The 27,860-nt window shown below is 41.4% G+C and overlaps 1 protein-coding gene across 1 annotated transcript in view, besides 1 other annotated feature; it reads left to right on the forward strand.

Annotated features, from left to right (window-relative positions):
* CREB5 (cAMP responsive element binding protein 5) overlaps positions 1-27,860 on the forward strand; it is a 526,574-nt gene that overhangs the window by 46,226 nt on the left and 452,488 nt on the right. The gene's annotated exons all lie outside the window — the stretch shown is intronic.
* Positions 12,928-13,522: an enhancer, noted in NCBI's record as "NANOG-H3K27ac hESC enhancer chr7:28398093-28398687 (GRCh37/hg19 assembly coordinates)". NCBI's record gives its function as "activates a minimal SCP1, AML or CMV promoter by ChIP-STARR-seq in primed H9 embryonic stem cells {active_cell/tissue: H9 hESC(primed)}" and the evidence as "EXISTENCE:reporter gene assay evidence [ECO:0000049][PMID:30033119]".

The raw sequence follows: 27,860 nt of genomic DNA on the forward strand, positions 1-27,860 counted from the left end.
CAGGTCCTGCAGGCAGAGAGGTACTGAGGCAGGGAGTGTGTCCTGTTCATTGCAGAGTTTCAGCCCAGTGGCTGAACTAGACACACTGTTCAAGGGGGCAGGAGTTAGCAATATCTTGTGTTGGTTCTGGCAGATGGTTAGCACTGGGCAAGTCGGGAGGTGATTGGGATTGTCCAACAGGATGGTGGGAGCTGCTGATGCCAGATGAAGATAGGCCAGAGGCAGGAATCCATGCAGGCTCTCAGCTATCATCCAGGGACTTGTGCAGAGGTGGTGTGACCCAAAGTGACACATTGGAGCTCAGGAACACAGGGAGTGCTGGTGATGAGGGTGGGTGGCATGGCAGGGGCTTATCCTCAGCAAGAGACAGGCAACTTTAGTATGGTGGCCCATCAGAAGCCCAACCCTACAAACTGTGGGGCGGGACCTCTGTTCAACTCAAGATTCAGACACAGATACCACATTATCCGAAGGGGGGCACCGTAGTGATGGGTTAAGTGTCCCAGGTTGGGTTTACTGGGGAAGTAGATTCTGAGATGCAAATCAGCATATTTGGGAATGCTCTTGTGATCAACACCTGTGGAAGGAAGCAATTGGAATATCGAGCAGAAAAAGAAATTGGCTAAGACACCATCTGTCTTAGTCTATTTAGGTTGCTAAAACAAACTACCATAATTTGGTTGGCTTATAAACAACAGACATTTATTTCTCATAGTTCTGGAGGCTGAAGGTGTAAGATCAAGGCATCCACAGATTCAGTGTCTGCTGAGGGCCTGTTCCCAGTTGGTAGCTGGTGCCTTCTTACTGTATCCTCACATGGGAGAAGGAATGAGCTAGCTCTCTGGGGCCTCTTTTACAATGGCATTAATCCCATTCACGAGGGCTCCACTCTCATGACCTAATCACTTCCCAAAGGTCCTGCCTCCTAATACCATCACCTTAGGGGTTAGGATTTCAACATGTGAATTTTGGAGGAACACAAACATTCAGGCCATAGCACCATCCCAACAAAGGCCTTAGCCAACTCCATGGGGAAACTTGAGAGAACCCCTCAGAATTGCCCTGAGTTAGGGGAATCAGGAATCAGGCCTTTGTACCCCTATATTGATAAGTCTGGATGCAACAGGAAGCAGGTGGGACTTTGGGCCAGACACTTTTCTTCAACAGAAGCAATTCTTAAAGGTGGTTAAGAGCGGAGGGCCATCTTCTGGCTGAGCTCCCAGCAGCTGGGAGAATACGTCCATCCTTCCTGTAAAGGGATCTGGGGACTGCATCACAACATCCACCACAGCTACAACTTGAAAGATCTGAGTGCCAAATGGTCATGAATAGTAGGATGGGGACATTAGAACTTTGATCAGTATAAAAGGGAAGACATAATATTATATTAAGTACCACTGGGTTGGCCTTGGTAGGAGAAGAGGCAAGGACAAAGGAGGAAGTGGAAAAGAAAGAATGGGAGGAACGGGCCAAGACTATTTGCATACTTGAACCCAATTGCTCTGTGAATATCTGTGGGCATTTCTCCCTGTTCATTCTAGCAAATCTTGTACACTGTGGCCCTGGGGCTTATCATGCCATAAAAATATTCAAACAGTCAAATCTGCTCATCATGTGCAAACATGCAATGTTAATTTTAAGAAGTATTTCTTAAGGCACTGATGTAATTTCTCCCTTAGACTGATATTAATGTTTGATTGTGAGATTTCCAGTGTGTTGTTCCAGCCATTTTACATTACAAAACCAGAGCAGGAGATTTTTGATTAATTTATTTTAAGGGAGACCTGTCCCCTCTCTGCACAGCTCAAAGTGATCTTTGATTTAATACGACTTAGAAGGCAGGAAAGAGGACAACAGTGTTTAGATTGAGTTCAAGAATAGAAAATTCTTATATCAAAAAATCTTTCCCCTTTAAAAAATGAAGTGAGTAAGCAGAGAGGAACTCATATTAAAGCATATTTCGATGCCAGCATTTAATGTGTCACAATATTTTGCTCATCTTGGCAAATTATGAAATTTTTCTAATTCTTAGAGTGTCATTAAACAGCTGTTGTTTCTTTTCTAAATAATACTAACCCTGCCCCGCTCCCCACCCCAGAGTGTCCAGGTTTCAATAGCTTGAAATTTCAATGCAATAGCTTCAATTTCACTTTGGCATCCTTTCACAGATTATGTATGTCCACTTTGCATGTGGGATGTGACTCTGCATGAGTCTGTTGTTCATGAAAAGATTCAGCTGTAGCAGCATATGGACAACACACTTTAAAAAACGTGGTTATTTCATAGTTGCATCGACTCTGTCCAAGAAAAGGGAGCACATTCGAATTCCCTATAATTCAAACCACTTGTAAGCAGAGCCCTCCCTCCTGAGCTGGGGAGGACTGGTGTCCTTGAGGGATTGTTGTGTTCCAAACAAGCCACCTGGTTTGAAAACTCATCCTGGAACCGGTGCCCTGGCCAGGGAAATTGTAGGGAGAGAGGGTTCCCAGGTGTGAGCTATGAAGTGCTGTCCTGGGTTGGGCATGGGCTATGTTCATGTGCCGAGATTCCTTGTGTTATTCAGCCGAACACTCTCACTGGTCAATCCAGAGGTTTCGTGTGCACAGGATCACCGGTTATCCATGTGGCTTCTTATTCCACAAGGGCAGAAGGAGGTCATGGCAATAGATAGTGTGACTCAGGGAGAACAACGTGGGCTCAGGAGCTGATGAAAACTGAGTCTGCATCTCATCGCTGGCACATTACTAGCCTTAAACAAGTCATGCCAATTCTCCAAACAGCAGCTTCCTCATTTATAAAATGATGATCAACATGCGCCTGCTTTCTCTCTCTCTCTGTCTCTCTCTCTCTGTCTCTCTCTCTCACACACACACACACACACACACACACACACACACAGACACCTTGCATGGTAGTGGTGAGAATTAGAGATATGTCTAAAATGCTCAGCATACTATCTGGCCCACAGTAGGGACTCAATGCTTGGAAGCTATTATTATTAGCTATTACTAAATAAAGTCTGTGGAAAGAGTCTTTCTGTATAATCGAAATTCCCATTATGCTCATCTTATGCCCAATCTGGCAGCAAAAACGGCTTGCCAACAGCATCCGTCTTTCCATTCACAAGTCACATGAAATATATGACCTTTTTCCTAAAGGGTTCCCAAAGGTCCGCTAGCTTTCCTGGCAATGAGACAGCAATTCAAGCCAGTCCAGGTACAGAACAAAGTGGTGCCAAGAGCCACATTCCTTGCATAGAACACTCCCCAGCCAGGCCATCCACATGGCGGCTGTGTGTGCCAGCCTCTCAGGCCTGGCTCACCAGGCAGCTGCATAAATTGCTTCAAACATGAATTTATTTATGGCATAACCAACCCTGATTTTGGCCTAGCTCTTGTTCTTATTTCTTAAATGATAGTATTAGTGCTGGGGAAAGACATGTGGTGTAGGAAACTGAATTCCACAGACAAACGTTGCCAGGTGCAGGCTTACCAATGCAATTGCACTGGGCCTTGTCGGTTTATTGTCAGCTCCATAATTCCAGGCTCTGGGGTGGCAATAACTATCCTAAGTGAAGACAGTCCACCGCACATCAGTGATGCCTGGGTGGAGAGGAACGGTTTGATTTTTCTGTAATTTTGAAGTTTCGAGAGCTCTCAGCAAGGTTTTCGGAAAGTAGTTATAACCTTATAAGGAAGGTTAAAAGAAAATATCAAAGTGCACCAACGATATTTTCCAATTTTTCCCTCTTAATTTACTCTTCATCTGAAGAAGTTTAGACAGATCGAACAGTCTTTCGTTCTTAGCTTTCCCTAATTTTCAAGTCAAATTAGCCATATATTGAAATCCAGAGTTAAAATTCAATTTTTGATACAAATTCCCCCCATTCCCATTCAATCTAGTATCCCGTTGTGGTGGGAAAAGGGAAAGAGGGGATGTAAGCCATGGCATTGATTTCAGGAGAAAGGGCCAATAGGGAGGTGTGAAATTTCATAATTTTATAATTTTTGCTTTTGCTCCACGTTCTTACGGCCTATGAACCAACTAAGGAAGTAGGACCACCATCGGCCCATACAACTTAAGTCCAATATATAGACTTTTAACCTATGTCAGTGTGAATAGTTGCCTGCTTGACCAGGGACTTTAATTTCAGCGATGGAGGGACACCAGGAGAGGATGTACAACTGGGGGATGTCACCATGATGATTGCTCCTTTTTACTTTGATACTTGTGTTTGTATCTTCAATCATCCAGTCAGATGACTATTTGTTCAAATATTTATTCTACTACATGACACACTGTGCTGGACACTTCAGAGATAGCTGTGAGTTTTGCTTCCTGTGTGGTAGCTCTGTGGAAAAGGTGATGTGATGTCACAAAAATCACCAATTCTAATTTTATTTGCAGTTGAATTACTTACATTATTGCTTTCAATTCTAATCAAGGCCTTTTAAGTCATAGGCTGATTGCTATATAGAGGCAATTAAACAGGAAGGTTAGCACCTTGAATTTACCTTATGGATACAGGCATTCAGCCATCATTGGTGGGATGCAGGACAAAGTGTTTACTTTTGTCTTTCAGAGTCAAAATGGGAAAGGTTAACACAAGGAGTAAACTAAGAAAATATATCCATATCCATATTCATAATTATATCTCTGATTATCTTAAAGATAGGTCATTTTTTACTCCTCCAACACCCTCCAACGTGTTCCATCCCATGCTATCTCTGAGAGAGAAGACTGGCCGCCTGTGGAGGGGAAGCTACCTCAGTAGAGGTGGTGTTATTGCTTCCTGCTCAGCACACATTGCTTCTCCTCACAGCTTATCATCCTTCACTTTCCTTGTGGGAAAGCCCTCTTTCTCCATTTTTATCATGTGATGTGGGTGGAATTTTTGCCTCCTTAAAACTTCATAGGAGAGTACTAACTGGCTTCAGCCAATTACTATACCTGTTTCCTCTGGCTATAGTGATTGATTCAGGGAGAGGCCCTTAATCTAGTAGCTGTTGAGATGGAAAAAAAAACAAGCAAACAAAAAACAAACAAACAAACGAAACGTCTGCTAGAATTTCTGGAAAAGAGAGATTCCTCTCTTTGCTCCATGAAATCTATTAGATTTCATAGTGTGCGTAAGCATGGAGGCCAGACATTCATTCTGCGATCCCAGGGAGAGCCCTGAGCTTCAAGGGTAGGCAAGGAGAAGAGGGGAGTGTGGGGAGCTGGAGGAGGAAGCCAAGCTGCAGAAGGCAGAGCTGGGAAATGGAGAGAAGTCAGATCACTCGTGATAACTGCGCTGCTAGATTCAGCCTTCTGTAAAGTCAGCCTTATCTCTGCTTTCTAATCATATGAGCCAATACATTTTGCTTTATTTTCTGAAGGCTCTTTGAGTTGGACTTTGTGTCAGTTGTGACAAAAAGAGACTCAACAGTTACCATGGACTTTGAGCTTTTCCTGAATGCCATCCATACAATGAGTCTTATGAATTTCCATCTGACACCTTTATGTAATGATAGAAGTAAATGCATTCTAAAGATGGATTATATCTGTTTCTTCTCAAATAAATTAGTTGGTAACTGTGATAAGTGGCTGGGATGGTAAGGAGAAACAAGAGCTGAACCTATGGAAGAGTGAAAATGGCATTTTCAATTTTGGGGAGTAATATATGATTTTCTGGAATAGCTTCCATTCCCCCAAGTATCTTCATGAAACAAATCTATAAGAATGATCCTAGGATTATATGGTTATTAATAATAGATTTTTCAAAGTGCTCCATGTCCTCTTCCACTCACAGGAGATAGTTCCTATTCAGGACACACACCCAGTGCTTGCAGATCCATACTGCTAGACTACGTGAAGGAGGAAGAAAGATGTTTGCAAAGGAGCCAAGGGGGAAAGCAGGTTGCCTGCACCAAGATCAGACTGTCTCTTGTGTTCTTTGATAACTCTGAGATTTTCCTTTCCTATTCCTTTCTTCCCATCTATTAATGAGCATGAACTACATCCTGGCCTTTAATCATTGATATCATTTCATATATACTTTTTCATTATCCTCATCTCTCCTTTGCTTCTATGAACATCTGTTTCCCAGACCTCTTGATAATACAGTGTGTACATGGCAGCTTTCCCCATCTCTGAGCCACGAAGCTGAATTTCCTATGCACTTTCAAGCATTACATTGAAAATTAAGCTGAATGTACCATATTTTGTTATAATTATGGTTTAGAAAAAAAAAATCCTTGTTAATTAGGTATTCAAGAAAGTTATGTGGTCCATATGCTATAGAGGAATTTATAGTCTACAGTAATAAAGTTTGGTAATAAAGGGATAGTGATGAGTGAAAGGGACAAATGTAAATTAACATCCCCCAAATAAATCAAGCAGTTTAGGAAATTGGGCCATTCATGGAAACCACATGCAACTAGTTTTAATTGCCAGTTTTAAAGTGTCTGATTTTAGTTGTTTTAAAAAAATTATTTTTAAAAAACCAAATAGACATGATTTGAGGCTTAATATTCTGTTATCATTTGAAGGCATAGAGCTGCTATGTTATCATCAAAAATTATTTGTTATAATAAAACATTATTCTGATCATTTTTCATAGAGTCTTTGGCATTGGGTTGGACAATGATGGAAATTAGTGAGTTTTACTCAGACAAGGTCCCTTCCTTTGAGGAATTTATCCTCCATAATGATCTGCACTTGCCTGAGCAGTGTTGGGAATGGTCTCTCTTCCTTGGCATGGAAGAGTCCCCTGGGTGATAATGATGATTGACATCAAGTATCAAGGGCTTCCTCTGGGCCAGCTCCTGCACTGCGCACCTCTGCTTACAGTCCTCAGAGGGAGTGTATTACCTAAGATATTTTTTAGTTGTAAGTATGAAAAACATAAACCAGAAATTACGTAAGTGATAAAGAAACCTCTCTTGTAATAAGAGGTTTAAAGATTGGGCAGCTCCAGGATTGGTAAATTTATCATTTGACACTGTTAAGGACCTGATTCTTTCTTTTTGCTCAGCTCTTCTCAGTGTGTGAGTTTCTCTTTGGGCTGGCTCCCTTCAAAGTCACAAGATGACTGCCACAATCTCAGAGTCACATTCCTCATGTCAATCCCCAGAGGAAGCAGAGGGCAAAAACTTTTCCTGGCATCTCGTTTTCTTTATAGTAGGAAGACTTTTGCAGAAGACTTTCACAATAGGTAAGGAATAGATGTAGAGTAGGAAACCAACCACATCTACTGTAGATAGAGGCTATCATTATCTCCATTTTACAGACAAAGAAACTGAGTCTTGGAATGGTTCATTAATGTGCCCACTGTCTCTCAGCTAATAAGTGGAAAGCTAGGGTTTGAACCAAGGCATTCAGACTTTACACGTGTTCTCATCCACTGCACAAACCACTTGGCTATGGCAAACACATGCCTACCTCTTAATAGGACCCTGGAGTCAGTTGAAGTGAAAGAAATGGGTAAAAATTTTCTTCAATTTTTATCTTTCTTCTTTCCCTTAGAAGTGCCTCTTTTTCTTTTTCTTTCTTTCTTTTCTTTTTTTGTTTTGTTTTTGTTTTTTGAGAGTCTTGCTCTGTTGCCAAAGCTGGAGTTTAATGACGCAATCTTGGCTTACTGCAACCTGCGCCTCCCAGGTTCAAGTGATTGTCCTGCCTCAGCCTCCCGAATAGCTGGGTGGCCAGCCACCACGCCCAGCTAATTTTTGTATTTTTAGTAGAGGCGGGATTGCACCATGTTGGCCAGGCTGGTCTTGAGGAGTGCTTCTTTTTCTTTCCAAAGTCCTGTCCTAGATCCCATACTCTGAAAGAAAAGTACAGGGTTCTAGGAGAATCTATGGGAGGGGCAGTTAACTTGGCCTTGGAGTGAGTGATGGCTTCTCAGAAATGAGTTACATTATCTCCAGCAAGATGTGAAGAACAAGGAAGACTAGCCGGGTGGAAAAGTTTATGTGCATACATATAAGATAAAGTGTTTCAGGGAAAGGAAGCAGCATACAAAAATGGGAGAACGGGTCCAGGCGCGGTGGCTCACACCTGTAATCCCAGCACTTTGGGAGGCCGAGGCGGGCAGATCACGAGGTCAGGAGGTCGAGACCATCCTGGCTAACATGGTGAAACCCCGTCTCTACTAAAAATACAAAAAATTAGCTGGGTGTGGTGGCAGGCGCCTGTAGTCCCAGCTACTCGGGAGGCTGAGGCAGGAGAATGGCGTGAACCCAGGAGGCGGAGCTTGCAGTGAGCAGAGATCACACCACTGCACTCCAGCCTGGGGAACAAAGCAAGACTCCATCTCAAAAAAAAAAAAATGAGAGAATGGGGTGCAGTAGGAAAACTGAAAGTAGCTCAGATAAGCAAGGTGTCAAGCACAAAGGGTGATGAAGTGGACACACAAAGCTCTAGAGGTAGTAAGACACCATTAAAGACATTATTAAGCAGATTAAGGAGCTTGGACTATATCTGGAGATAAGCAGGAAGTCATTTGGAATTTTTAGCAGAAGAGGGACTTGATCAGAATAAAATTTAGGCACGATCCTTCTGCCAGCAGGATAGAGAATAAATTTGTGTACTACTAAGGAGTGCTTGCATGTCTAAATTAAGTATGGAAGGAAGGCGTGATGGTTAATACTGAGTGTCCACTTGATTGGATTGAAGGATGCAAAGTATTGATCCTGGGTGCATCTGTGAGGGTGTTGCCAAAGGAGATTAACATTGAGTCAGTGGGCTGGGAAAGGCAGACCCACCCTTAATCTGGGTGGGCACCATCTAATCAGCTGCCAGCGCAGCCAGGATATAAAACAGCCAGGAAAACATGAAAAGGTTAGATTGGCCTAGCCTCCCAGCCTATGTCTTTCTCCTATGCTGATGCTTCCTGCTCTCGAATATCAGACTCCAGGTTTTTCAGTTTTGGGACTCAAACTGGCTCTCCTTGCTCCTCAGCTTGCAGACGGCGTATTGTGGGACTTTGTGATCATGTGAGTTAATGCTTAATAAACTCCCCTCTATATGTATCTCTCTATACTATTAGTTCTGTCCCTCCAGAGAACCCTGACTAATACAAAAGGTTACAACCTAATTCAAGCTCCCACGTCACTGCAGTGCCAGGGCCCTCCCTGTGCCAGACTCTGTTGGTTGACTCATCAACCCTTCCCTCCTTTGCCCACATCCCAGAGACTTAAGAACCCAGATGCTTGTTTTCCCAGCCATTTGGCAAGGGGTAGCCATGTGACTCAGTGTGGCTGCAGGCTTCTGGGAGAGAGTTTAACTTGTTGATAATGGGAGAAGCTCACTAGGAGGCTGTGTAAGAAGCTGACATCTGGACCCATCTTTTAACCGTGAAGTCACAGACGTAAGGATGAATGCCTGCATGGAGCAAAAGGATGGAAAGAGCCTGGGTTTCAGATGACAGCATTCCTCTAAACCAATGGGGCCTAGCCACCCCCGCATGGCTTGTTAAGCAAGCAGTAAATGTGCCTCTGGTTTAAGCCACTGTTGGTTATGTCTTCCGTTGCAGCAGAAAACATCCCTAGGAAAGTCACATGCATTAATGCAAGTGACTTGCAATTTTCTATTTCATTTTGACTGTGTATGCACTGCCTGGATTCTTCAAGCAAGAGAAGGACATTTCTATAGTGCATCTGTTATGGTGACAGGTTACAAGACAGAGCTCTGTGAAGCTCCTGCTCCCTTTGGGATGAAAGCGTGCATGTGCAGCACCTGCTCTGGACAGGACAGAGGAGGTCTGGTGGATTCCTTCAGCCGTGGCTCAGTTTCTTTCTGCTGACCCTTGGCATGGCATGAAACAAAGTCCATTTGGCCTGTGATTTCATCTGAGACACCCGCAGTCATAGTAGAGAGAATCATGAAATTTTTTTATTACATGATTTCTTAAAATCATAATAAGACTTTATGTTTGGAGAAAAATATTACAACATACTTTTCCTTCAAGCAATTTATGTTAATAGAAGAGTGTCCTAAAGAAAAGATTAAACACAGCAGTGGAGCCTGTTATATTTTTCTCAGACAGACACAGCCCTTTTATTGAAATTCTAATGAAATATATACCCATAAAAATGCTCCCCCTGCCACCACTTAAATGGTATTCGCATGTACAGCATACCCATGCCAACAGCCACTGATTAACATGTCATCTGAGGTCTGCCATCACCTGACAGGATAAAGCTAATCCGAATCGACTACCTGCCGCATTTTTATGACACGCAGCTATTGAAAAGTACAGGAATAATTAACTGGAAATGTAATAAGAGGAGGCTCTCTCTGAGCTCGGGGCTGTCACAGAGCGTAACACCTGATATGGCTTCCCTGAGTGCCAGGCCCACTGCAATAACACTTTTTAATGCTACTTTCTGAAGAAACGAGTGACTCAAGTCGTCCATCAGGGCAATTCGTTGTGAGGAGAGCATGACAGCTGTGGCAGGTATAAAACAGAGGTGCCTTGTTCCACTGAGTGACACTAATTACGGGTAAGAGCTTTGTAAACACGCCTCTCTGTTCGGAAGAAGTGAACAACATAGAGTAAAGCACCAGCATAACCAAAATGACGTCTATAAATAAATAGGAAAGAACGGCACTTTTCTAATTGAATGCAGATAGGTAAATAAATCAGGGGGCACTTAAGCCCATTTTAGATACAATGAGTCATTTTCTACTCTCCGACAAAGTGAATGGCAATTGGCTCTTGGAGTTTACCCAGATGTAGCATGCTGGAAAGAAGGATTTCCACTTCCACAGCTGCTATCTCAATGAAGTGGGTATGTATTTGTATTATAACACACAGATGTGTGTGCATACATGGGTTTGTGTGAAACACCCTCTCTACTTAGCAATAGGTTTTATTTTTACAACGTCGTTTTAGGCAATGGTTTGGTACTCTGAATGCACTTAACTAGAGGTGAAGTGATACATGTGTTGATCCTTTACCCAGGCTGGCCCACAGATATAAACCCACGGGCAGACCGATCAATAGGCTTTTGGGGGCGAACGTGATAACCTACCCTCACCTGTTGTCTTGGTTAGCATTGCATTCAGCTACAAGTGAGATAAAACCCAAAGGAATCACTTGAATAAGTTCCTTTATGTGTCATGTAAAAGTACAGGTAGATGGCCTAGGGCTGCTGTGGTACTCCTGGGGCAGGGAGACAGGCTGCCCCTGGTGTGTGGCTTTGCTACACGGAGTGCTGTGTTTCGGCCACAGGATGAGAATTGACAAAGGGCACACACACACTGTTTCTTAATTAGGTTTCTGGATGCTGCCACATGGCACTTGTCGTCAGCCGGAGCTAAGTCACACGGCCGTCTGTGGCTGCAAGGGAACTGACAGTGTGTCTCCTTTCCTGGGGGTTAACAGTGTTATCACCATAAAGAAGGGCAACATGGACACTGGGAAACAACCAGCAACTCTACCACACGTGATTATATAGCGGAGGAAGCTGTTCTGTAACAAGTAATAAGACAAAAATGCCAAGGGCCCTGGCACACACTCACTTTCCTCTTTCTTTTTTCCCTGCATCCCTCGCTAAAGCCACAGAAGGAGTTACCTGGTGTGGGTCAAGAAACAAATGCTAAATTGAAGAATATTTCCCACTCTCCAGAGAGAGTTAAGGGAAGGCTGTGTTGCTGGCTTCTTAAATCTCACCTTGCTGATGTCCAAATTCTACAGCACATCTTTCTTCAGCATGGATCTAGATTCTTATTTGAAAAGCAGCTTCCTCTGGGAATAACTTTCAATGTCCATCAGATTTTTACATTTTCATTTGAAAGGGTTTCTGAGTTTCCTTTCTTTTCTTGCAAGCAGACGTCTTTACTGGGAGAAAATCAGGTTGGACCTGCCCATATAACTTGTTGAAGATGAAGGGAGGTATAGTAAATTTGGTATTTAAGTGTTTGTATGATTTATTTAGGATTTTGCTGTTTGCAGTCATTGGATAAGAATTCTATTAATCTGGATTTTTTTAAAGAAAAATTTTTTTCGTGGGTCTTTTTTCACTTAAGCAATGAAGAAAAAGAAAATAAAATTACTCTCAATCCTTCTTTTCCTTTTCCTGCTAGGCTTTTATCTCTCTGCTTTAGAGATGCGTGACTTCGTGTGCATGGATGTATGTCACTTAGCACATGCTCCTGGGGAACACGGAGTATATGCATTGGAGTTCTTCAATGTACAAGAACTAAGTAAATACAGTATTGTGCCAGAAGTTAACTGTGGAGGCAAATGCTTGGAATAGCATTTAGTACCACTCTACACAAGTCAGAGCTTTTATTAAGGAATTCTTGGAAGTGGCTGTGGTTCATGAAAGAAAGGAAAGATCTTTAAAGTGAAAGGAAAGGGTATTTTGGGGTGTTATGGGTGGTGTAAGGTGGGTGGGGGCAGAATTTAAACTCATATCATTGGATTTAGTATGTGCTTATTGATAGCAGAGGAAGAGGCCAGTGTGGAAAAAAGAGCCCGAGTTTTGGGGGTTCTACAGTGAAGGAGCTGGTAGCCTTCACTAAGCACCTACTGTATGTCATGCATTGTCTGAGGCATCTTGCATACACACTTTTTTTCAGTCTGCACAACAACTGAAGTCCAAAAGAAATGAAGGACCATGGTCAAGGTCATGTCCTCTGACAATCAGAACGGGGGCTTAAATATGCTCCGCTGACCTCACAGGCTCTGTCTACCTTATCATAAACACTGGGTTAAAACATAAGGAGAAGAGCTGCTAAGCTGGTTTAACTGGGGACTCCTGCTCACACGACTCTCAGATCTCCCACTGTCCCACCTGTGGACCCCAACCATCACACATTCCCCAGCTGAGGCAGCTGCTGTGTCTCTGGGACTTGACACGGCCACTTGTGGCTGGAGAGACCACTGATGGTGTGCGGTCAGCATCAGGACCATTAGTGGTTCTTGGATATCACTGTTGGTCACCACTTATTAGCAGATGGGACAGGCCGGGAGCTCTGGTGGTTAACCAAAGCATGTTGTTTTCTTTTTAGACTTTGCCTTGATTGCCAATTAGCCAGAACTTTTGTTTTGCTTTTAAGTCACGAACATCCCAGCTGTCGAAGTCTTTCTTTCCCCAGCATCTGCAGCCGTCCTGCCTGGGGCCATGAGCTCATCTGATCTCTTACTCCAAGCTGCCTTACATTTGACCTGGTCTTGGCCATGACACTGTCAATGAAAGACCAAGTGGTAAAGTGGTATTTGTGAGTCAGTCCTCCCTCTGAGTCAGAAATGAAACAATGCCTCAGCATGTTAGAGGGAATATAGAGCCATCCTGAGATGAAGCCTGAAGGATTCTTCCCCCTTAGTTCTTTGAGGTGCAAAGTGACTTGGTATACGTATTGGGGAGTTGTTAATAGGGGTGAGGAGAACCCCTCAGGGCAGCCAGATGCATTCTCATTTTTCCTTCTTTCTTTTCCCCTCTCCTTTCTTTTCTTCTTTCTGACTTTTTACTTCTTTCAAAATATAGGAGCTAATCATTCAGGAGAATTTGTTTCTCTTTAATATTTTGATCAATGAATTTATTCCCAATTTAAATTCTGTCATTTGTAAAACTGTGGTAGGTGGAAAAAACACTGGATAGGGTGGGAAAGAAGGAAGAAAAAAATCCCAAACCCAAAACGAAACAAACAAACAAAAACCCAAAAAAGCGAATACACACACAAAACAAATAAAAAAAAAAAAGCTTTAAGTACTGGCTGGATAAAGAGATAGTTGAGATATGTTAAGCAAATCACAATCTCTTTGAAGCTGCATTTCCTCAAAAGAAATATGAAGACAGCCAAACTTGTCTTACCTCCCCTATAAGAGCGTTGTCAGAGACACTAATGAAATAATCTGTGTGAAAGTACTTTGTAAATCCGTGCATTTACGGCCAATTGATTTTTGACAAAGATACCAAGAACACACAATGGGGAAAGGACAGTCTGTTCAATAAAGGGTGTTGAGGAAACTGGATATCCATGTACAGAAGAACGAAATTGAACTCTTATTTCATACCATATACAAACATCAGCTCATGATCATTTAAATACTTGAACATCATACCTGAAACTGTAAAACTACTAGAAGAAAACATAGCAGGAAAACCACACAACACTGGTCTAGGCAATGATCGTTTGCATTGGACCTCAAAAGCTCAGGCAATGAAAGCAAAAATAGATAAATAGGATTACATCAAACTTAAAAAGCTTCTGTACATCAAAGAAAACAATCGACAGAGTAAAGAGACAATATACAAATTAGAAAAAATATACTGGTAAGGCACATATCTGATAAGGAGTTAACATCCAAAATATATAAGGAACTCAAACAACTCAATAGCAAGGAAACAAATAACCTGATTTAAAAAATAGGCAAAGGCCCTGAAGGGACATTTCTCTAAACATGACATACAAATAGCCAACAGATATATGAAAAAATGCTCAACATCACTAATCATCAGGGAAACACGAATTAAAGCCACCATGAGGTATCATCTCATACCGGTCAGAATGACTATTCTCAAAAGATGAAAGATAATAAGAGTTGGTGAGAATGTGGAGAGGGAACAGTTGTGCACTGTTGGTGGGAATGGAAATGGGTACAACCACTGTGAAAAACCATATGGAGATTCCTCAAAAAGCTAAGAATAGAATTACCACATGGTCCACAATCTACTTCTGGTTATATATCTAAACAATTGGAAATCAGTATGTTGAAGAGATATTGGCATTTCCATGTTTTTGTAGCATTATTCACAATATCCAAGTTATACAATCAACCTAAGTTTACATCAGTGAATGAATAGATTAAAAAATAGGGTATCTATCCACAATGGAATGTTATTCAGCCTTTAAAAAGAAATTCTGTCATTTTCAACAACATGGATGAACCTGGAGGACATTATGGTAAGTGAAATAAGCCAGGCACAGAAAGACAAATACTACATGTTTTAGATTCACTTATATGTTGAATCTAAAACAGTCAGACTCACAGAAGCAGAGAGTACTGTGGTGGTTACGAAAGGCAGAGAGTGGGGGAAATAGGGAGATGTGGTCAAAGGGTACAATATTTCAGTTAGACTGGAGGAATAAATGGAATTTGAGGTAATAGATAAGCTAATTAACTTGATCCAATCATTCCACATTGTATACATATAATATCACTTTGTGCCCCATAAATATATATAATTTTTCAATATGTAATAACACTTAAAAAATAGAAAGTGCCTTATAAAACGTGTAGTCTGTCACAAGCATAGTTAGCAGTTTGTGTTCTGGGTTGGTACTGGTCTGGGAGCAATCATTCCTAGTGGTGTGTGATGGGAAAAATAGTTTTTGTCAGTGATTCTCCACTGGGGGAAGCTTTGTTTGACCCCAGGGATATTGGCAATGTCTACAGACATTTTTAGTTGTAACCACTGAGGGGCAGGGTGCTACCAGCATCTAGTAGATAGGGGCCAGGGATGCTGCTGAACATCCTGTAATGCACAGAACAGCCCTCCACAACAAAAAATTATCTGACCCCCAATGTCAATAGTCCTGAGGCTAAACACCTCTGATTTATTTTAATAAACCTCAGCTAAAAAAAAACTTACTGTAGGACAGAAATAACTGTAATAATAAGATTACTTATTGCACGGAGGTTGAATAAAGCAGCGCAACTAACTCATAGCTCAGTGCCTGGCATATGTTGCGTTCATAGCCTATTTCATGCTCAGTGTTCCCGTTATGGCTCTTTCTAGAATCCTTCCTACATATTTGCAGTCCTTCATCATCAACCCTTCCTAATTTTACATGAGTCAATGTTCATATTGCTTTGGCTGCCTACACACCAGTTTTCTTTTTGAGAATTTCTTCCCTCCAATCATTGTGAGGCCTTGGTGGCAACATAAATCCAGATGCCTCTCTAAGGAAGCAAAAGAGGCCACATCCTTTTCCCTGCCCCAGCCCAGCTAGGTGGTGGGCATATGACCTGACATTGGCCAAATAATTTCTTCCAGGGTGTTGACTCTTGAGTGGAAGAAGTGATAAAAACATGCAGCAGTTTGCTGACCTCAGGGTTCCTGCTTGAGTTTATTCCTCTGGGGCCTGCTTTCAAACTCCATAGAGCCTCTTGGTTCCTGTCTTTTTCAGGGCCTCTTTTCAGCCTCCTGCGGACTCAGCAGGGCTCCCACAGCATTCAATACATTTCCAGAGTTTGTTCTGTTGCTTGCAGCCAAAACTCTTGACTGATCACTTGCCCACCAATGACCCAATGCATAGAACAATAGCACTCTGTATTGTGTCTTTTGGTAGAGGGGCTGGGGATGGAGGCATGGATTTGTAGCCTAACAAAACAGCAAAGAGCTTCTAATTGTAATTTTCCCACTAGCACTGCAGGAATATTAAGTTCTAAGTTCTTTATTGAAGTAAAAGTTGAATCTTCTTCCTCCAGCCAGGTCCTTATCAATAAACATAAATTAGCAAAGTGTTTTAGCTCTTCCCTTGTGGTGAACCCTTTACATTTGGCTAATAGAATTGGGCAACAATATGACTTAAAATATTGATTTAAGCAAATTCTCAGAAGTACATAGTATACTTATTGTAAAATATACATTTGAAGCTATCTTTTTTCATCCCATTTTACCTTTAGTGTTTGCCAAACCCTATTTTAATATCTGTATAGAATGGAAACTTACATTTTGTGTCCATCTGGGAATAGTCCAGCCAAGCAATGGCACTGGCTAGTGATAAGCACAAAAAAGAGAAATTAACAAATTAATTAATACTTATTTTTAATTTAGGTTGTTTCTCTGGACCTGAAGTATGACTGTTAGAAAAAGAAAAATCTGATAAGCTTCACTTCCTGTTTTGAAAAAAATAGTAAGAAATCACATGTGTTTAGTGGCTTAAAATATTTTAGTCATTTTTAAGTTTGCAAAATAGATTGTGCATATGCCTTTTCTCTTTATAAATATATACCTGTGAAACTCAAGTGCATGAGAGATTTAAACAGCTTTTATTTTTCAAAGGCACGAAAGACAATATTTGGAACAGAAATAAGAAATAGAATTGCAATTCTTGATTTTGTCACTAATTCTCAATAGATAACACTAGCAGTTTTCCAAGTTTAGATTGAATTGTATGAGCTGTAATTAATAGGTATTTGTAAAATCAAATTATGTGTTTATACATGCCTGTAGCAGTAGTTACCATCCTCATCGTCCTTGGGTAGAGGTACACACACATGAAAATCGGAAAAACAAGCTTAGCAAATATTTTTAAATAAAATCATTAAGTCTCTGATGAAGCTGGTTAAAAGTTTGACACCCCTGAGGCTCAGTTTTCTCATCTGGAAAGTGGGAATGATAATAGTAATTATTCTAGCTGGTTGTTTTTATGACTAAATGAGACCATGTGTGCACAGGGTTTTAAATGTATTTGAAGGGCTATGTTATGGGGAAGGATTTTATAATATCTAACACTAGGGGGAGAAAGCATTTTCTAAGTTAAGATTGTGCTAAGTATAAGCTCAACTAAGCACTAGAAGCAGCCATTGTGTATCACTTTGGGTCCATTTAAAAAAGGAAAGAATTATGGATGACATTAGTAGAGCAGCCAAATATTTCAGGAGGATATTTATGACTGGAGAGAGTTTGGTCATCTCATTATTAGTGACATCCTGGGGACAACTAACTCTCTTCACTTTTCTTCCCCTGTCTTTCCCTAACATGGCAACACGAAGCAGGTGTTCTTGGTCCTGACCCATGAAGAAGGCAAGCACATAATTTTCCTTTGATCGGGCTAAATGCAAGCAAAGGAAATTGGCTAGGATGACCTAATTTTGGGATGCTGACCCTGAATGGAGTGTGACTGCTGCTTCAGGACTGAGCCTCATGGCTGTGAATGTGGCTGTGAATGTATCTTCCCTTGTCAACCTGCTGCCTTCTTGTCCATTCTTCGAAGACCATCTCAAGCAGCCTCTCTTCCATGTAGTCTTTCCTGATCTTCTAATTAGCTTTGATCTCATCCACCGAGAATGGGTTTGAACTTCCTTACAGAACTTACTGTGGGTCTGAATCCCTTACTAGATAATAAACACCTTGAGGGTGAGAACTACATCATACTCATTTTTGTATCCTCCTTATTCACAGTACAGTGCCCCACATAGAGTAGCACTGTGCCATTGAAGAAGAAGGATAGATTTTTGGAGGGCAGCAGAGCTGAGCTCGAATCTTGGCTTCCCATTACCTAGCTAGGGGACTCCAGAATGCTACTTAATCTCTCTGAAACCCTTTGTTCTCATCTGTGAAATGGAGAGAATAATACCAGAATTTGAGGGGAGAATTGTCATTGGTCTCAAATATTAATGTATCATATTCCATTGATATGCATTATTTCTGAGTTGAGTTAACATGCACAAGGAAGTTTTAACCCCATATTTACAAGAGCAGTGTTTGTAGTAAAGGTACATTCTAGTTAAAATCTATGAGCCAAATTAGGCTTACAACTGAAGTTTTAGTTAGTTGAAATGGATAAGTAAACATTTACCTAATTGCTTATTTCTCTAAAATTTCATCTCAAGTCTTACCTGTGAATGGCTTAATGTTTGGTGTTTTCAGTTTATCTCACAATGAATTTATGTTTCTTCAATTGGGTGTTAAAAACTTTTTGCCGGAAATCTTCAGAAGCTTGGGCAGAAAGATCCCTGGAATAAACGAGAAAATGCCAGCCTTAAGATCATATGATTTTTGCACAACTGCTCCCTGGTGGTGACATACCCAAATTGCAGGAACATTAAGAAAAAACTCTAGCTCTTTGAGGAAAGTTATGAAGAGACAGTTCTTAAGTACAGTTGCTCTTTGACCAATTCCTCAACATCTATTGCTTTTTCTATCAGTGTAAAACAAAAACGTTGAGTGTCAACAACATGTATCTTCTAGCTAAATCCTCAGGACTTTAGAATGCACTGAGAGTGCATCTCCCTTGTAGAGGCCAACAGGCAAATTCCTTCATTACTGACATCACCAACAGAAGCTCAAGCCTCCTGGGCCCTCCATCATGCTCCAGACCCCCTCCAGTGTTCTTCCATTATGCATGCTGGCACTCTCAGTCTGTCATCAGCAAACCCTCTCCTATCCTCAGGCTCCTCTCTGAACTGATCTTGACCCTCTTGCTCCATCTGCACCTACCTTGCCAATATTTGTCTAAAGTGGCAGCTGCCTTTTCTCTTATGCTCCTTATGCCTCAGATCATAGAGGTAGAATAGCTGTCCTCCTGGCTACCTGTCATCTGCTAGAAACTATCTGTCTTCCTTCATCTTTCAGAAATCACAACTCTTCTAAAGCACATGGCATCTTACTATTTCACCCAACATTCTTTTATAGCCCTCTTCTACTAGCCTCCCAGTGATGCCCCTTTATTTATGAGACTGGTACCTGGTTCATGGTCTTTTTCATTCTACTCCTGTTATTATTCTTGGTGACACCAACTTGGTGACACCATTCAACACCCTGAATCTCAGCTCCTTAGCTTTATCACCTCTAATTACTTTTCCCTCCATTCCACCTCACCATCAATTTCCTTGACCAAACCACGAATTGCATCTCCTCTAGAATAACAGTCTCAAACATTCGTCTCTCTGGTCCTTTCTATTCTTCCATCTCGTTTACTCTATTAATGTCATTGCAATAATTTTTTGGACCATATCAAGATGGCCAATTCCTTACCCCTACAACATTTTCCACTATTCATTTTCCTTGTTTTCAATGAACACAATGGTACTGGCGTCTATACCCATACATCACACACCTTCCTTCTTACTACAATGGAAGGTATGTTCATCCTTCACTTGTGCTTTGGATCCCACACCCTCACCTTTGCTCCCGGAATTATCACCTTTCCTCCCGGAATTATCCCCTTTCCTCAATGCATTATCAGTTTTTCCATCTCTATTGAACTCTTCCCATCAGCAAACAAAGGCATTGTGATATCTTTATCTCCCTTCTCTTGATCCCATCTACTCCTCTGGCTCCCACCCCCTTTCTCTGCTCTCCTTCATGGCAACATTTATTGAAAGTTGTTCTTACTTGCAGTCCCTACTTCTTCACCTCCCATTCTCTCTTCAACAGATTCCAACTGGGCATCTGGCCCCTTCACCCACTCTACAGAAACTGCGCTCCTCTAGGTCGCCCATGACCTGTCTGTTGCCAATCCAAATGCATTCCCATTTTACCTCTCAGCAACATCCAACGCAGCCAAACGCTCCCTCTTTAAAATATTTTTTTTTCTTTTGGCTTACTTGTGTTGTTTTCAACATTTTTACTCATATAGCACCTATAAAAATTTTGTAAAATTTTGTAGACCATTACACATTTTTAGAATTGACATCTATATTGTTCATCATAAGTTTAAATAGTTGCTAGGGATAGAATTTCCAGTATGTTACAAATATTGACATCTTAAAACTGTTATATGGTTCTTTTTAAATGTGCCCAGTGAAATCTAAACACCATAGAAATTTGATACCATAATTCGTGTAGAAAATACACAGCCTTCTTTAACAGAAATTTTACATTGTTTCCTTTTTCCTTAAATTTATATTTTCACTCAACTTCACCCGCAAAAAATTTTCCCAATATATTTTATCACTCCACCAACTTCTCTGCAACTGATTATATAAATTGAAGTTAGAACTTGAAAAATTTCCTATAAGGCTCTGTAAGTCAAAACTTTTTTAGATTTAGTTATTATTGTAGTTATTTAATTATTTATACACTTGATCAAAATAACATAAACATTATAGATTACAAATTTTGATGAAAAAGCATTACTCTAAAAGAAAACTGTATTGTAAACATAGATTCTTAGGACATGGCTAGGATGTTTTTCCCCACCCATTTAACTTGTGTATGTGAGGATACTACTACTTATTGTTATTGTGAGACAGAGTTCAGCATTAATCCTCTCCATATTTTGTCTTTTTAAAAGATGTCAGCTCTGAGAAATACTGTTTATATACATAAGTAGATAGAAACTTGATCATAGAAGTGCTATCCAATTCTTTGAATTCCTTTTGAGTTATACATCCAAAATCAGAGTAATTTATCACAAAAAAAGTTTTCTAATGATCTAGCTCTTAACTACCAACTTTCAACTCAGTTAAGTTCTCCTCCAATTTTCTGGAAAGCAAAACATTGGACATCCTTCTGCAAATCCTTGTGTAAGTCAGGTGATGTCCAATATTCGTTACCTAGCTATTACAGTTATTAACTTCATCAAACTGACACCAGTATTTCTAATGGTTTTCTTTTCATGTCTAGGATGTTTTACACTGTTGGACACTGCAATATAGTAAGATTTGGGACAGATGCAAGTTGTAGAGGGGTAATCATGAAAGGAAGTTGGGATGGAGAACATCTTTATTTTATTAGGTACATTCTGAGGCTGAAAGGGTTTGGAGAGAGTACATAAGAAGTTGAAGATCTGAAAATCGCTCTCCTTAAAACTATCTGTGCATATATTCCCCTTGGAAATTTTCGGCATACTCTTAAGACCCCTGGTTTTTCTCTTAACTCCATAGCTTTCCTTGTGAGTTCCTTTGCTGGCGATTTCTTCCCTGTTTATCCCTAAGTGTTGAGCAAAATGGGTATCATTCCTGGGTCCCCATCCATCTCCTTTTTGGCCATCTCTTCATCAGTCCCAATGCTTCAACTACTGGCCATAGGTTAATGGTCTTCCTGCAAGCTCAGAGTCGTACATACAACCTCAAGCTCAGTTGCCCAGTGTGAAGGCCCAATTGGCATCCCACACTGCTCATGTCTAAAAGAGAAGTCATGATTCTCCGGCACCACATCCAACCAACCTGTTCCTCCACAATCTCCCACATCTGAGAAAATGGTACCATCATTCTTTCAGTTGTGAAATGAAAAAACCTAGGAGTTATTCTTGATTTCTCTTTTTCATCACTTCCTACAGCAAGCTCCATCAGTGCTACCTTTAAAACATAGCCTAGGCCGGGCACGGTAGCTCATACCTGTAATCCCAGCACTTTGGGAAGCCGAGGCGGGTGGATCACGAGGTCAGGAGTTTGAGACCAGCCTGACCAACATGGTGAAACCCTGTCTCTACTAAAAATACAAAAATTAGCCAGGCGTGGCAGCGCATGCCTGTAATCCCAGCTACTCGGGAGGCTGAGGCAGGAGAATTGCTTGAACCCGGGAGGCAGAATTTGCAGTGAGCTGAGATCCAGCCACTGTACTCCAGCCTGGGTGACAGAGCAAGACTCCATTTCAAAACAAACAAACAGACAAACAAACAAACAAACAAAAAACAACAAAGAAACACAAAACATATTCTGGATCCATCCACTTCTCTTCGTCACCTTCCCTGCTCCCTCCCTAGACTAAGATGCCACCATCATGGCTTGCCTGGAGGACTTGATGCTTCCTACTGACCTCCCTGCTTTCATTCTGCCATACCCCACCAATGATCTATGCTCCATAAAGCAGCCAAAGTGTCTTTTCATATTGTCAGTTGGATCATGTTACTCCACTGGCTAAAACACTATACAAAAAATAATTACAGGATGGAACTGGAGGCCATTATCTTAAGTGAAGAAACTCAGGAATGGAAAACCAAATACCGCATGTTCTCACTTATAAGTGGGGGCTAAGCTATGGATGTGCAGGGGCATACAGAGTGGTATAATGGACATTGGAGCCTTGGAAGGGGAGGTGAGGAATGAAAATTACCTACTGAGTACAATGTACAGTATTCGGGTGACAAGTACATGGAAAGCCCAAATTTCAACGCTATACAATTCATCCATGTAACCAAAAACCACCTGTACCCCTAAAGCTATTGAAACAAAAATAAATTAATTAATATAGAAAAAAGAAAAATATTCTGATTTTATATCTGGGTCTGAAGTGCTCTGTGGTCTGGGCCCTGCCTACCTTTCTGATTCCACTTTCATGTTTGTCTTGCTGTCTTGCTAACAGAACTCCAATCACATGGACCCTCTCCTTGTTCCTAAACATGGCAAGCTTGCTTTTTACTCAGGGCCTTGTTCTTGCTGTGCGCTGAGCCTAGAAATTTCTTCCCTCAGATGGTCCCATTGCTACCTCATTTTCTTTCCTTATACCTCAGCTCACATAACATCCCCTTTTAGAAATCCTCCCTGACCACATGCTAGCTCATTACCCTATATTTTTAAATAGCAAATATTCTACTAGAAATTGATTATATTGGTTGGGCCAAGTGGCCCACGCCTGTAATCCCAGCATTTTGGGAGGCTGGAGCAGGAGGATTGCTTGAACCCAGGAGTTTGAGACCAGCCTGGGCAACATGGCAAGAACCTCTTTCTACAAAAAGTGAAAAATTAGCTGGGCATGGTAGTGCACACCTGTAGTCCCAGCTACTTGGAAGGCTGTTGTGGGAGGATCGCTTGACCCTGGGAGGTCAAGGCTACAGTGAGCTGGGTTGGTGCCACTGCACTCCAGCTGGGCAACAGAGTGAGACCTTGCCTCAAAAAAACAAAACAAACAAACAAACAAACAAAATAAATTGATTATATCTGTTGTTATGTATGTAAACTGCACAAAAGCAGAGATCTTTCCTGTGTTATTTATCTCTGTATACCCAATGCTAAAAATGAGTCAAACATGTAGTAGTAGGTGCTCAATATGTAGTTGTTGAATAGACGCAGAAATTTTTACTGTTTGCTACAGTTTTATTTAAGCACAGGAGCATGGCCAGTGGTATTTCCAGGGAAGAATACATTAGTAATGCAGGCTTGGGTAACCACTTGCAGCTCACCTCACTACTGAGCAATGACGTGGAATTGGAGCTGGTATCACAGAACAGGGAATGATCATGGGTTCTGGAGTCAAAAGAGGCTTTTCAAGGATTTAACCCCTGAGCTGTCAGTGTCCAGCTCTACGGACATTGTGGGCAAGTCACATCATTCTTTACATCCCAGTTTCCTCATATGTAAAATGGAGATAACTTCTAGGATTGTTGTAAGAATTGGAAATAATATAGGCAAGTGATTGACACATAGTAGGCATTCAACTAACCGTAGTTGTGGTAGATGCTGTTATCACCCCATCCGATTCCCCTGAGATTCCTTTTACTGCTTTGTCCAATGGCCAGTGGCAGACTAGGATAGGGTGATAAAATCCTGTTCGCTTGCCTCAAGGCAGGGCAGACCCTGGGGAGTCCTGCAACAGGAGACCAGGACTTCTATGTCTGCAAGTCTTCCTGTGAGTTCAGGCTAAATCTAATCTTCACCAGACACCACCTCCTTCCCCTTCTCTATTCTGATTGCTTCACTTCATATTACTTTCTCCTAGGAGCAATGCTTCAATAAATCATGGGTACGTGAATCCCTGGCTCATGTTCTGCTTCTGTGGAACCTGAATAGGGCCGTGGTTATCACCTCTTGTTCCACTAGAAAACCCTAGCAGCTACTTTTTTTTCCCTAGTAATGCTGTCTGTTAGTTGTACTTATCTGCTCATAGTAAAACCCATAGCTAGAAGTGAGAATTACTATAATGTCTTTGCATTAGTTTAATGTTGATAAGAACAGCCACCTATTATTAAAAGAAGAAAGAATGGGAAGGGTAAGTATTTACATTTCTCATTAGTGGAAATAGGAGAGGCTCTAGAATTTAAACGCTCAGGCCTTTCTATCTGTAAGGCCACGGTAGGACGTGCCCTAGCCTCAGCTTCAGGTATCCTGAAGCCAGGCCTCTACCACTCACTGCTGAGCTGTGAGTTCTGGGAAGAAATACTCAACATCTCTCTGCCTCATTTTGTCATTTGTAAAGTGAGAAAATACAGAGTTGCTGAGTGAAGTAAATGAAATCTTGTATGTGAAAGAGCTTGGTAATTATAAAACACCTCATAAAGGTGAGGTGTTTGGGAGGATAAAAGTGACGTTCTGGTTCATTCAAGAATTGAAAGTAAATGCATTAAGATATTGCACAAAAGTGTGAGCCTCTTTAAATATGTAGAAATAGGGAAAATTGTGTTTGAGTTATGTGTATTGTGTTTTAAAGAAATTACTTTTGGGGAAAATATATTTTATACTTAAATAATAATAAATAAGGTAGAAGCACTTTGTAAATGATATAAAGTATACAGACACTGCAGAAAATGTACGCACGTGAACACATACGCACTGTAGCTCCAGTGACTTCTGGGAACTATTTGAGGGAGTTGCAGTAACAGAATTTCATAGGATTTATTAGCAGTAGAAAGTTCCCCAGAGCTGCCTACATAAGGCTTTAATTATTCAAAGATTGCACTTTGGCACTTCAAACATTGCCAACCCAAGAAATCAGAAAAATGAGCACATTTCTGGTGGCAAGGAGAGGCATTTTGTGCAGGAAGCAGCAGTAAAAATGCAAACCAAAACCTCTGAGGAAGCCACCACTGCAAGGTAACTTTGAGGCCTGGGAATGAGTTCTTCCCTAGACTGAAGGAAAGAAGTATTTTCCTTCAAAGGATTGAGCCAAAGCCAAGAAGCGAAAAAATAAATGACAGGAGACAGCAAGTAAGGATGAGCAAAGGAAAGCAGGAGTGGAAAGGTTCAGAAAGTGGCAGACAGCGACAGCTGGGGGAAACCAGAAGAGGTAAAGAGACCGGGCAGCAGCAGAAGATTCAGGGAGGATGGGCATGGTGGCTCACGCCTGTAATCCCAGCACTTTGGGAGGCCGAGGTGGGAGGATCACAAGGTCAAGAGATGGAGACCATCATGGCCAACATGGTGAAAGCCCATCTCTACTAAAAATACAAAAAAAAGTAAATAAATAAAAATAAAAGCTGGGCATGGTGGCAGGCACCTGTAATCCCAACTACTCGGGAGGTTGAGGCAGGAGAATAGCTTGCACCCAGGAGGTGGAGGTTGCAGTGAGCCAAGATCGCGACACTGCACTCCAGTCTGGGAGACAGAGTGAGACTACTCCATCTCAAAAAAAAAAAAAAAAAAAAAGATTCAGGGAAAATTGGGAGGTGGGGAGGCCAGGCCTGAGCTGGAACAGGTCTTCAGCCCTGGAAAGCCCTGCGGGCAGCACCACCATGGCCCCAGCAGTCCTTTAGTATCTGGCCTTCTCAGGCAGCCCTGCTTCTACATCCAGGACGGAGGCTGCCAGGTTGAAATGCCTCCCTCTTTTGGTCCTCCAGATGGAGTTGGAAGTCCCGCCCCTTTGTCCCCTCTGCAGGTTGCTCACTGCACTTATTCTAAGACGCCGTTGCTTATGCGTGTCCTCCAGTAGTCTCCAGTGGGAGCCCCGAGGGCAGGCTGTCTTTGCCACCTGAGCGCTTGTGACTGGCCTGGTAGACACCACGCTCCCAATCATGGTTAAGTAAAATCTGCTTAAGAAGGCAGGAAGACTTCACCCCAACCTGTACCATTTGAATGGCCCAGGACTTAGAGGGTTAAGATATCAGTTATTCAAAGGACCTACGTGTCTGTCTATTTTTGAGTGTGCCAGGCTCTGTTCTGGGGAGTATCGAGCCCAGAACAAAGTCGAAAATAAAGATGCTGTTAGCAGTGGGGAACATCAGGTCACACTAGCTCTGTGCCAGGCGCTGGGCTGGCGTATATACAATTAGTTAATTCTCACGGCAACTCTCTGCCCTCAAGAAAGGCAGATTGATTGATGATTTAAAGAGGGAGGCAGATACATACATTACTAATAAATGGCAAATAAATTATAGTAAAATGCAGCAAGTAATATAAAAGGGTGAGAACCAGGGACTGGGAGTGAGTTATTTTGTTTTCCTGAATTTGGGGAGGGTTTCCCCTAGAAGGAGTGGCCAAGTAATAATGGAGACGTCCTGGTAATTTTAAAATTATTTATTCCTCAAGGAGACAAAGAGTCCAAAATAGACCAGGAAAAGTCCTTCCTTGTGTGTTAGCCTGGTAAAAAGCAAAATAAAGCTCAGCAATATATTTTATCTCACTGAAAAGCAAAAGCTCCACATTACAATCGTATTATTTGAGAAGGATATATGAATTGCATAAAGGTGTAAATATTATTTATGATGCTTATATTTAACTGGGACGATAGTGTTATTGCTCTTATTTCTCCAGTTTATTATAGATTGGTATTAAGGCATGACTATAAAGCTCTTTGAATAAATCATTTTAATTGCCTAGTAATATGAGTGTTCATGTTAATTAAGTAGATATTTTGCACATGGCAAAGATAATTCTTTTCAGCTTTTTCTTTGGAAAGACAGCCTTATAAAGTGCTCTTTGTGGAATAAATGACTTTCCTATTATCAAACTGAGGACCATGCAACTCTCTTAAAAATTGTATTAAAACATTTAATTTTGATCTTAAAATATAGAGCTGCCTAGCAGAACTTGGGCTCCGGATAGCTAGAATGTGTACGGCTTTGTCATGCTGCATTAGCAGTGTGGTGCGGCGGGGATGGTGTTTATTTGGGGTAAGGACACACCGCTCTGGCTCCTGCCTGGCTCTGTTTTGCTGAGTAGTCACAGGAAAGTCAGTCTGGTTCTCTGGGCCTCGGTTTCCTCACCTGTTAAATGCAGCGTCTGGACTCCAGCTCTAATAGGCTTTTATCTGCGACTAAGTCCTAGCATAAGACCTGCGTTCTATCCCCTCTCATGGAGTAAATTCAGACTTGTGATGTCCCTCCTGACTGGACATCAGAAGAGTAGGGGCATGTCCCTCCCATGACGGTCAGGATTGACAAAAAGGCACAGAGATTTCAGAGATTTCAGTAAGTTGCTCTTTGTTATATTGTAATTGAGAAGTATATTAGAAATTGCTGTTTGTTTGGTTTTTTAAATGGTACACATTAAGTTAAAACATGTACAGAAGTGACAAAATGTTAAAAAGTGGTAGTAGGATATG

Source organism: Homo sapiens, chromosome 7 (assembly GCF_000001405.40).
Source record: "Homo sapiens chromosome 7, GRCh38.p14 Primary Assembly".
In the NCBI taxonomy this organism is placed as follows: Eukaryota; Metazoa; Chordata; class Mammalia; order Primates; family Hominidae; genus Homo; species Homo sapiens.